Raw genomic sequence first — 13,397 nt, forward strand, 5'->3', positions numbered from 1 at the left:
GCATTTTTACTATGATACAAAACTGGATATGTTGTTTTGTATTTATCCTTCTTGGGTTTGATAGAGCTTTTTGAATTTGTGGATTGAAGTCTCTGTTGTTTTGGAATATTCTCAAGCAATGTCATATAAGATACTTGTGCCCTACCAGCTCCTCTCCTTCTAGGGTTTCAGTAACTTGTCTGTTAGATCTTTGAATCATGTCCTGTAAGTTTCTTATCACCTTTGTTTATTTTCCATCTTTTTTCTCCTTCTCTGTTATTTAGTTTGGATACTTCAAATTGACCTATTGACCTATTTTCCAGTTCCAATTCTCTTTTAATTAATCTGGAAATTCTAATCTATTTAATAAAGTTCTTAATTTTAATATTTGCCATTTTCATTTTAGAATTTTTAAATGATTATAGTTTTTGGTCAGTTTCTTTATCTTGCCATCTATTTTTAAAAAATGTTAATCACATTTATTTTAACATCCTTCTGTGAGAACTCAAAAGTCTACATTACCTGGAGTCTCTTCCTGTATTTTATTTTTACACTTTTTCTTGATTTCTGAACATTTAACTCTTTCTCTCCTGGTATACCTAAAAATTTTGTAAATTAAATGCCAGATAGGACTGAAAAAATACAGAGATAATTTGTAGAGTTTTGCCTCTTTCTCCAGGGAGGACTTAATGTTAATCTACCTGGCAGTTAGAGCGGGAGCAGATTACCTTTACCAAATCTGGGATTGAGCTCGTTCAACACTGGATTTTTATAAGAGCTTTGTTCTTAATCCTACAGTCTGGTCCTTTCAAAGTCTTTTCCAGAGGTCTGGGTTGTTTATCGGGGCTGTCTTTTTTGGGAGCCCCAGAACTCCCATGTTTTCCTCCTCAGGCTCATTAGGCTGTTGTGAAAACTCAACTCAACTCATAGTTTCAGGGTTTTGGTCACTGTTTTCTGCTTTGCTTCTTGGCCTCTTCACCTGGCTCTTCTTATAGCCTGACAAATGCCTGGAAGGGAAAAACACTATGCTCCACTTCCCTTCTCTTCATGATCTTGAATTCTCAAATTATTATCTTCAAACAAATACATGGTGTATTTTCTCCAACTTTTCTAATTGTTTCAGACTAAGCTTGTGGAAGAATTGTTCTGCAATTCTGCACTAACATCAGGAACAGGCAATCTTGTAGGCTTTCTTCAGTGAGAGAAAGGTACTCAGTTTCATGTTATACTCCCAGTGACTTTCACAACTCTTGATGCATGAAAGTGCTCAGAAATTTTTTCAACGAATAAAAATGTGCAAGAGAAGCATGACCTAACCCATATTCAGAAGCAGGTTTTGATCTGAAGAAACAGCCAAGGTTTAGTCAAGAATTCCTTAATGCTTAGTTTAATACCAAGATATTTCATAGAATCTTTCTTCACATCTTGAATTCTCTTATCCTTTTCTGCCCTGAAAAATATTTGAAATTCCTCAAATACAATTTATCCTTTAATCTTATATTGTATTAATAGTGCATTTGATGTTATAAGCTGGGAAATATATTGGGCATATTAGCATAAGGTGAGTTCTAGAAGACAGGCTCTGTCATATGTCTGCTACGTTCTTCAAGATATCTCAAGCAGTGCTAAACACATCGATGGTGTGTGACACTTCCTTTAAGATATAATACAGTCAATATTGAAATTTTATATTCTAAGAGTGAAGGGCTAAAAATATGTATTTTATGCATATTTTAATAAAAATCATTTTGGTGTATTTAAAAAGTTTTAGGAAATAGGCTGCATATAAAGCATTGTTTTTTATGTTCATAAGTAAGCATCCAAATACACCATCAGTGTCATTCATGGCTGCCACCATGGCCTGGTGAGAGGGTGGCAAAATCATAGTGACAAAAAGCAAGAAGAGCTGTTTATTGCAAGCTTGATATGCACCCAATACCATGGTAATTATTTTATAGAGATGGTCTCATTAGTCCTTATAATAACTCAATTCAGAGGTGCTATGGTAGTCCCAATTTTTAGATGAGGACACTGAAGCAGAGAAAGATTAAGTCACTATCCAAGGTTATAGAGCTAGGAAGAGGAGGAACTAGGTCAGTGATTGTGGTAGGATGTGACCTAGGAAAATATGTTACTCTGTTCAACTCTCCATTTCAAATTCTCCAGTCAATCCCTGATCCTGGTAATGAAGGAGAAAGAGAGATGTATGACTCACTTGACTGTTTCATTGCCATTAGCATAGAAACACTGAAAGGGGTGGAGTGCTTATTTGAAAGTTTCCTTTCGCCTTAGGTGTATATAATTAAGCAGCGGTTGGTTTTTCCTACAGTAAGCATCAGTTGGCTGAACAATTTGTTTCTTTCATATTATGGTTTCCCTTCTTTCTTCATTTTCCACTGGAAAATTCTGTTAAACTCAAGAAATATGTAACCTAATGTTGAAAGTGTCAGAGAAGCACACTTAAAGTATTAAATGAGATAAAAGTGTTGTTCTATAGAAACAGACCAAAACATTAGGCTGTTATTTTTCCAAACCTTTAGTGGGGAAGAATAAGTGCTAAGTGGATATCCTCAAAGTCGAGAAAGTGACAAAGATTATTTTTTGGATGAACAAAGATATGTGAAAGTGCTAGAGAAGAGCAGTAAAAGTATTAAATGCAAAACACTAAAAGTATTAAAATATTGTATAAGGAGTTGCAGAGAAGTGCTGTGACATGGATGAACCAAACTACAGGATGAAAGGCCAGGAGAGAGGGTTTCCTGAATGGATCTTTTGCTAATGGTGAAAACGGACTAGCATGTGTGCCCCATGCCAAGGAGAGAGAAGAAAGAAAAAGTAATGGTGGGATAATGTAATTTTTCTCTCATTAATATCTCTTTTGATCTGTAAATAATACATTCCTCCACATTCTATATTAAACCCAGAAATAAAATCACAATGTTAATTAAAGAGAAAGTGAGGAGAATAATTTCTAACATGTTGAAGGCACAGAATAAACTTTAGAGAATTATTAATATGTCATGAATTTTTCTCTCTTTCTACCAGAAGGCATCCCAAGAATTATGTGTCCCAGACAAATGACTGTTTACGTTTCTGAGCCTTTATGTTAAAATCTGGTGATTGTGGAGCATAAAATATTTGAAATTGTTCAATCTGTGATGTTAAATATCTTAAGTATATAATTTATAAAATAAAATAAATCACTGAATCAAAAGAATCATTAAACATATAGAAAAATTATTTTAAAAATTTTGAATAAATAAAATAATGTGTATAACTATAATAAATACTAGATCATATCCTAAAGGTGGCAAAATACCAAAAAAATTTTATATTAATACCAAATTTTTTATTTGACATAATTGTTTCAATGATGAATACCAAAATGACAGTAACTTAAAAAAGTTAGAAAGTGAGATCCGTGTAAGGCAAAGGTTTGTAGGTATGTAGATCAGCCCTGTTGTGGTGGCTTTGCTTCACAAAGCAGTAAGGACTTAAGATTTCTTCTAGCTTACAGTTTTTCTGGGATGTCCTCCATTTCCAAAGACACCCCATGGCCCATAATGGCAGCTTTCTCTTTAGCCATCATATTCATATTCTACTAGCAAGTAAAAGCAAAGGAGAAAGAAGAAAGGGAAGAAAGGGAAGATCATGTATCAGCTGCCTTTTAAGGAAAGTTTTCTTTCTGTTTTTTTTTTTTTTTTTGAGATGGGGTTTCACTCTGTCACTCAGGCCACTGGGTGGCGTGATCATGGCTCACTGCAGCCTTGTGACCTCCCCAGGCTCAGGTGATTCTCCCACCTCAGTTTTTATATTTTTAGTAGAGATCGGTTTCACCATGTTGCCCAGACTGATCTTAAATTCCTGAGCTCAAGTGATCCGCCTGCCTCGGCCTCCCAAAGTGCTGGGATTACAGGCGTGAGCCACCATGCCTGGCCTACCTTTTAAGGAAAGTTTTCTGAAGCTACCTCAAGGAACATCTGCTTACATCTTATTGACCCGAAGAACCAGGTCACTTGGCCAAATCTACTTGTAAGGGAGTCTTTATTGTGGCTCGCTAAATGCCCAGCTGAAATGAGGTGTCCTGTCAACATGATAGACGAGCAGAATAATTTTTGGAGAACAACTAGCATTCTCAAATATGCAGCGTTTCTAGACTCGTATGTATTCTGGTTGCCCTTTCAGAGGTGAATTTTAGTTTTTAGTTGTTTTATCCTAATGAACACAGTACTCTGGGATGTGTAAAAATGTTATATGCTTTGATTTTCAACATCACCTAAGATAGCGGCTGTTTCAGAGTTCACATCTTCACCATGGGTTATAGTTAAGAGTAGGTAAAAAGCTGTTCTGTGCCATTCTGGCCTCCTTATTTTGTGACACACAAGAAGTACAGCATGCTTTTAGGTCACCTAACACATTTTTGAATAAAATCTGAAACGATTTGAGTTGATACTTCTAAGATTTAATAAAATTAAATATTTCATCAATATCATCATTGTAATTGCCTGCTATGTTATAGTCACTGTGCTAAGTGCTTTACACACATTATGTCTGTTAATACTCTCAATAATCCTGTAAGGTAGATATTTTTGTGTCCATGTTAGAGTGTGAATATTGATGCTGAGAGATTTAAGCAACTTACCCCAAATCTCAAAAGTGGTAGCAGAGTTGAACTTTTAAGTTCAATTCAAAATCTGCTTTTAATTACTATGCTGTATTGATTCTAGCCCTCTGCTGCTGCTTCTAAAATTAACATTGATTAAAAAAGAGTATATATATATATATACATATACCTATATATATACCTATATATATATACCTATATATATACCTATATATATATACCTATATATATACCTATATATATATACCTATATATATACCTATATATATATACCTATATATATACCTATATATATATACCTATATATATATATACCTATATATATATATACACACACACACACACACATATATACTGAATATATACATATGTTACTACTCTACTGTTTATACACACACAGTATATATCATCACAGTATAAATTTTTTTCTGGGTATCTGAATTATTGTTAAAACTGTCTTTGAATATGTTTATAAGGCCATTTTATAAGTTTCAGAGATAAAATCTTTTAGATTTTCAGTTATTACCCATGGATTTTTGGGCTTTGTGAAAATATATAGTACAGAAAATTTCTGCAGGTCCAGCAGAAATCAACTTTATGGGGATAGACTGGGTATAAAAATTAATGGAGAGTATAAAGCCACTGCAGACTTCTTGGATTACTAGTAGATTCGAAAATGAACAAGTATTTGCATGAGCAGTAGTTTGACTGCTTATTATACTTTGCTCTTTTCTCTGGTCACATTACATGATGTAAGCCGATGAATCAGAAATTGGATCTGCATGGGGGATGTGGGTGACCACAATTTCCTACTAGTCATTGCTTCTACAGACATTCCCAAATCCCCTGAAGTCATTTTGGAAATCAACCAAAGCTCCAGATTTGTTAGGGACATTTGCTAAAGTGCTTACAGGTAGAGCAGATAGTGCTGATCTGATGCCTGTTCCAGAAACATCTGTGCCTGACCTTCAAGTAATCTTTCTAGATTTAATCCCTTTGTTTTATATAATCCTGCTCACTGTCTTCACCTCAAAAATGCACCATGTCCCCATTGTGTCAGTGTTTGTTTTCAGGAGTCTTTGTGTTCATCATAAATTCTGCTCTCTATGTCTCTAGTAACTGGTCTTCATCCACATTTTCTGTTCTCTGCAGGCTTGTATTTATAAAACAGAACTGAACTAGCTGGTAGCATTTACTCTGGAATGAAGGATGGAACTGGTAAGTCCACTCTCCCCTACTCTTACAATGCATTGTAGTTCTTCTTAAAATTTTGGGTTTATTAGTTAGACCAGTTTTTGATTTAGCCCTAAAGAAATTTGGGAGGCTGAGGCGAGTGGATCACGAGGTCAGGAGTTCAAGATCAGCTTGGCCAAAAAAGTGAAACTCTGTCTTCACTAAAAATAAAAAAATTAGCTGGGCATGGTGGCGGGTGCCTGTAATCCCAGCTACTCGGAAGACTGAGGCAGGGAATTGGTTGAACCTGGGAGGCAGAGGTTGCGGTGAGCCGAGATCGCACCACTGCACTCCAGCCTGGACAACAGAATGAGACTCTGTCTCAAAAAAAAAAAAAAAAAAAAAAAAAAAGATAGTATCTTAGCCTCCTTCCAAACAAACAGAATCAGAATGTCTGGGAGTAGGGCTCAAAAATCTGCATTTTAAGTGTTTCCCTGGTGACCTGATGTACATGATAATTTATAAACTTCTACCTTGGAGGACTAAGCACCTTGTGTCAAGGTGTTTGACTTTCTTCTTTCTCCTTTTGTATGAATTTTTTTTCCTTTTCCTTATCTCCTTCTTTCCTCTCCCCAAATGTAAAATGAACCTTGGGACAAATTTGTGATCCGTAGGGAATTTCAAGTTCTATTCTGCAGGTGTCTTTTGACATTCACTATGTCTGGGTTTTGGGGCTGATCATATATATCGGGGACCCTTAAATTATTTGACCGTCTGGGCACTGCCAGGTTTCTCTTATCACTAAGAATCTCCCATTATAGGCTTCCCAATCCTTTCTCTCAGACGGATATTAAAAAACAAATGTCATATCTTTGGGTTACATGGTGGCTTTTACAGTTGTCCAGTTACAGAGTGTGTGGCAGTCATAAGGTTCTAGAAATGTTTAATACCGTAACACATAACAAAATTATAGTTAAATAATACTTTATATTAAATACCATCTGCTATGGTGAAGAACCCGATTCTTGGATTATGGCATTTTGATAGTAGAATGCTTCATTTAGATTCTTGTGGTTTGAAGTGTAAAGGTGAAAAAAAGGGGAAAATACAGTAATTGTCAATACATTTCTGTTAAGATGAGTCCTTGTTACATAGGAAAGAAGAAATGGTCCAGGAAGTTATTCTCAAAGTAAGATGTTCATATTTTCTCACAACGCTTAGTAACAACATGCACACATTGATGTCTAAGTCTAGGCCTACACAAATAATTGTGAGTGTGTTGGCTGGATCTGACATAATATGGTATCTGTTTCCATGAGACAATTGCCATAAATATTGGCCTATTAGTCAATCACATTCTCCAGACTATGATCGTTGGCTCAGAATGCATCTATTAATAAGACCAAAGCAGCTACAATCAGAATGAATCTCAGGGCTCTTGAGGAACCTATTGGAAAAGTGGCTCTCTTTTGCTGTTCCTGAAATTTTGATGATATGAGGCTACAGCTACTATAGCTATCTCGTCTCTATGAGGTGAGAGCTAGTTGGATAATGCCATCATTTCAGAGAAGGAGAGCCAGAGGACGGAGACAAAGAAAAAAGTTTGGGGTGACATCATTTAAACTTCTCTATCAAACATCACTTGGCGTTAAATGTATGTTTAAATTTTTTTCAGTTGTATGAGCCGTTACATTTCCCCCACCTTTTTTTTTTTTTTTTTTTTTTGGCTTAAGCCAAACCTCTGTGTGTGTGTGTGTGTGTGTGTGTGTGTGTGTGTGTTTAACTTACAACTAAAAAAGTGTCCTAACCAATATGTCTTCATACAATGCTGATCACCCTTTCTTATTTTTGCTTATGTAAGATCTGACCTGACTCCCTTGCTAGACTGTAATCTCCATGAGAGCCATGTCTGTCTTACCTGCTGTTGTGATAGATGAAGATCTACCACAATGTTAGCACAGAGTAGGTATGCAATAAACATTTTTGAACAAGAAATATATAATTTATTACACTTAATGAATTTAATGTTACAGCATTTTTGTTATAAATTATTTGTTTATTTCCATATTTTTAAAGAAAAAACATCCTACATTCCAGATCCACTTTCCTTATTTCCTGGGCTGATCTTAAGATACATCTTGCCATCTACATTGTTTTCTCTTGTACCTTACTCTGGCATTAAAATGAATTAAAACAATTTTTTTTTGTCTGCTGATTTTTACCAGTTACTCCTGTTTTTTTAGCCATTCCTTTGTCTGTGTTCACACATTATTTTATTGGTACTCCAATTACAGCAGATTTTACAGCATATTATAACTAATAGTTCATTATTTTCTCTGTTCCTCAAACTGTATTGTTTGAAAACAACCAAGTCTCTTTTTACCTTTATATTGCCAGTGACTATTACAGTGCTTTATATTTGTGTTTCAAAAATGGAAAAGCTTGCAGACATTTTTCCTTAATTTTTTGTTTTACTCTTGCCAGTGTTTTATGCTATAATAAAAATAACTGAATATTCCAATATTTTTCTTATTCTCATTTGAGGGTTGTTATTTATACTTATATGCCACCAGTTGGCATATTTTGTATGCACTCCAAAAAGCACCTCAGGGATGGCCAAAATACTGTGAAGGGAGGCTTGAAAAAATTAGATTTTGGCAATAATCATCCATAAGCACGGATTTTGAAAATCATCTGGAAATGATAATTATCCCAGGTAAAAAATGAAAATAGAAAATTCAAGAACTGAACTGTGAAAGCAGAGACCCATGAAGAATGCTCACAGTGAGGAGAGAGCATTTGTGTTAAAGATGTTTTGGATTACTTGGACTTTCATAAAGAATTTATGGACAGCGAGGTGCTAGTGGCGGTCACTGTTGCCTATTGACCTATTGCCTATTGCCCCAATCCTTCTTTCTTGACAAAACCCACATTGGTTTAGGTATTGGGCAGATAGTAATGTTCTCAGGAAGGTAATTTCCTTTTTCATCAGTAGATGATATTATTTTTCTCTGTCAATGATGTTCTAATTGCCAATGACATTCTAATGATGAGCATTTGACCAATTCTTATTAATGAGATATAAGTCTATCTGGGTATCTAGGGATTATGGGAAACATTTTCTCTCTATATATTATAATACACACACATATGGAGAGTGCTATGAAAGGAGAGCACTCTGGCTACTTGTTGCCTTTTGTTTTTGGATGCAATTATAACATCTGGCTCTACAGCAGCCATCTTATGCTCATGAGGAGACAAATCTAAGGATAAGGAGTCAAAATATTCAGGATGGTGAAGCAAAGTACAGAAGGAGCCTAGGTTTACTGATGGCATTGTTCAATGGTTGAATCAACACTGATACTGCCTACTTCTGGACTTGTCAAATGTCTGATCTAAGTCATTAAGATTTCTGTCACTTGTAAACACACTCTAATAGATACACTGCCATAGTTAAGGCAAAGAGCAAAAAGGTGGGGATGTCTTCTTCAGATGTCTGCCTCACTTTGTGGTGTGCAATTGTGTGAGACTCTGGATTACAGAGATTTGTTACAACAGATACTATGCAATTCTAGAATTTTGTGGAAAAGTAACTTGGCATGTCACATTGGTTTTGATTGCTCCATTTCATCTTAAGCACTTCTACCAAGTTTAGTGTAATATGAGGCATTTAAAAGTTGTCTGTAGGTTGACAGAATTTGAATGAATACTTTTCTAGTAAAATATGATGGCTGCCTAAGCCCAGCCTTTTGATATGTATAAACTGAAAAAGGAAAAGAAATCCATACTTTATGGTAACCATACCTGCCTTGCGGTAACCATACCTGCCTTGCCTGACACTATTTATTATCCCTGTGGTTCAAGAGATTAAAACTCCCTGGCCTCCAGTGATTTGTCATTGGGAGAATCCAGGCATAAGGGCATATGATCTCCCTGAATTAACACCATCCTGCTTAACATGGAGCCACCTATTCAGAATAATCAGTATTGTTTACATTTTGACTAATTTGCCTCCCTCATATACCTTTGTCAGCAAGATATCACACAATGACAACTGCAATGAATTCAGAAAATATAAACACTTCAGAGAAAGATTATGGTGACTATCTATGTATGTAAGAAAAATGAAATTGTGTTTGTACATTTGAAATGTGAAAACATGGAATATGTAAATGTCCAAAAATGTTGGAGTTTTATAAAGGCTATTTGAAGTTTAGTGATACAATAAATTTCTGATCAGCTTGGAGATTTCCCTGCTGCCTCTCTTTAGAATATAAAAATACTTGTCACCCGTTGTGCTCTGGAGCCTGTAATGGTTAATTATATGTGGCAAAATGGCTAGATTATGGTGACCAGTTGTTTGGTCAAATACCAGTATAGATGTTACTGTGAAGGTATATATTTTAGCCATGATTAGCATTTAAATCAATAGGCTTTGACTAAAGCAGATTATTCTCCATAATGTGTGTGGGGGGGCTCATCCAATTAGTTGAAGGCCTTAAGAGCAAGCATGGTGATTTCCTGAAGAAAGAGGAATTCTTTTCAAGACTATCACAACATGGAAACCCTACCTATTTTTTCAGCCTCTTGCCCTGCTGAATTCAGACTCAAGACTGGAACAACAACTCTTATCTGAATTTTCAACATGCTTGAAATCTAGATTTCAGATTTGTCAGCTCCCCACATTGTCTGAACCAATTCTTTAAAATAAATCTCTCTCTATCTCTACCTAAAAGATATATGTACATATCTTATTGGTTCTGTTTCTCTGGAGAATCCTAATACAGGGGGCCTCAGTTCAAATTCCAAGACAATAGCATAAGTCCCTTTGAATTACCTATTACACAAATTAAGATCAAATTTGATTAATTCTGAAAATTTTTAATACCTCTCAGGAGATGTTTCTTGTAACATCTAGTCACACACACACATACACACACACATGTTTAAAGAGAGAGAACCCTCCAGTCCCCTGCAATAAGTCACAACAGATTACAAGATGAACATTAAATATTAGGGAAAAACAGAAATAGGCAAATATTAGAAGAGAAGCTAAAAAAAAGGATTTTTACAAATTTGGAAACCTTTCCCTGGTGGCAATTGGCTGTAGCCATAGAAAATAATAGACTGTTGCTCTACACATTATCAGAAAGTCCTTACCCCGAAATGTTACCAATCTAAGAGGATTTATAAAGTTAAATGTTGGTAATAACTGTACAAGATTACAGAAAAAGAGAGATGTTATAATAGTAACTATAAGCAGACGGGATATGACCCTTGTGTATAAAAAGAACGTAAAGTAAAAATATATCATTGTAACTTCAGTATTACACAAGGAGGAGATAACTTGACCCACTGACATGAGGATCCTGTTTGGGTTGATATTTATACTCTTTTGAATGAGAAAAGGGAGAATCAAAAGATTACTATAGCTTGAGAAAAATATTCACTTGTTTGCCCTGAGTTGGTTATCATTAAGCAGAAGTCTGATTATGCATTAGATTTCCCAAATAACTTCATTTTAAGAAGAAGAAAGTTTGATTATCTGACTGACACATATGGCTAGTCCAGTGGCTATCAACATTGCTTAAGTTATCACGAACCCATTTCTATGAGCCTAGTTTCCTTTATGTGAATTTGATATCTGGACCTGTGTGCCCTTGGAATATAGAGAAGATAGCTAACCTGAAAGACCATGCCAGCCTTGCATGAAACGTTAACTCAGCCATCTTGGAGATGACCAGCCTTGCACCAAGAAGGACCAGACTGCAGCTGTATCTTGAGGGGAGAGGCAACCCAGTCACCTAAAGACACCCCTTTGAACCAAGAGAGTTTCCTGATTGAATGGAGCTACAGAATGATGCTTTCCTGCTGGGCTGTCTGGTGCTTCCTTCAGTTCACTTCCACTGATCTCCGAAGGTACAGGACAAGCTGTGGGGAAGCACCCAGGTGCATGATTCTGGCTTTCAAAAAAGTTGGAACAAATCTAATTGCCTCTCAGCACAATTTAAATTCTAAGCCTGCAGGGTAGGCTCCTATCCATCTTTTTTGTTTGGCACATTGGGAGTATTCCACTAGGAATGCAATAGGAAGCACTTTATTCCACACACAGGTGTCTTGGTAGATGTAGGGGAAACATTAACATTTCTGTAGGACTAGTTAAAACTTGCTTTCCGAAATGAAATTCCACAGCAGCTTAGTCTCCTTTATGAACAAACCAACCACATGACTGCCAGAAATCAATGCACATTGATTCTATCCAAATGTTTTCAGTGAGTCAGCGCTAGAATTCTTGCCAGTAGGTTTGTTGTGTTTTTTGGATAGCTTCTTATGCATTACCAAGAGTTCCAGTGTGGGTAATATATTTTATTTAATATTTCTCCTCTCAATGAAAAATAAAGCAAATATTTATATGGTTTTACCTAAATTTGACTTTCCACTAGCAAATCAGTGCTATAGCTTGTCTTTTATTGGTGAAAATTGACCTTTTAATTTTGCCAATACCACTATTTTTTTTGTCTGTCGAGTTTCTTACCTATCCAAAAGCATCTTCGAAGAAAACGTATTCATAATGTTGAAAATAAAAATTGGAATTTGTTGTCTACTTTACTGAGTTTTAGTAAAAGCTCAATTTCTCACATTGCCTGTTATAGCCTTTTATGGTGTAACAAACTCATGATGAAAACTTCCCCAGGAAAAACAACCTGGGAGAGGGAGCCAAGATGGCTGACTAGATGCAGCCAGAAAGAGACTCTCCCAGCAAGAGACCAGACTGTCAAAAAGACTGACACACTACTCTGAGCAGATCTTCAGGAGGAAGGCATTGAGAGTGGTCAAAGGGAGGATGCAGACCCCGGGCTGAAAGAGAGAGGAAACTAGCAACCCTGCATAGGACTGCTATGCATCAGGACTTGTACTTGACCCCCAGCGGCTCCAGGGGAAGGGGTGAGTTAGATAGGTGAGAAGTGGCCCACTTTTATCATAGACCACCAGAATCCTAGCATCAGGAATGCCATGTCCCCCACAGACATTTGAGCTGACAGAGAGAGCTACTGGGAGAGGTGGCAGGGACAGGATTCCAGCCTGATTCCAGTTTTAGTTTCATCAGTCTTTTGGATGGTTTATTGCATCTCAATTTCCTTCAGTTCAGCTCTGATTTTGGTTATCTCTTTTCTTCTGCTAGCTTTGGGATTTGTTTGCTCTTCGTTTTCTACTTCCTCTCAGTGTGATGTTAGGTTGTTAATTTGAGATCTGTCTTATTTTTTGATGTGGGCATTTAGCAATATAAACTTTCCTCTTAAAACTGTTTTAGCATGTCCCAGAGATGCTGGCATGTTCTGTCTTTGTTTTCGTAGTTCCAAAGAATTTCTTGATTTCTACCTTAATACACTGTTTACCCAAAAGTCATTCAAGAGCAGATTGTTTAATTTCCATGTAATCGTGTGGTTTTGAGAAATCTTCTTAGTATTGATTTCTATTTTTATTGGTGCTATGGTCCAAGAGTGTGGTTGGTATGATTTCTGTTTTTTGAATTTGTTGAGAATTGTTTTATGACCAATTGTGTGGTCTATTTCAGAGTATGTGCCATGTGCATATGAGAAGAATGTATATTCTGTTGTCG

Source organism: Homo sapiens, chromosome 13 (assembly GCF_000001405.40).
Source record: "Homo sapiens chromosome 13, GRCh38.p14 Primary Assembly".
Lineage (NCBI taxonomy): Eukaryota > Metazoa > Chordata > Mammalia > Primates > Hominidae > Homo > Homo sapiens.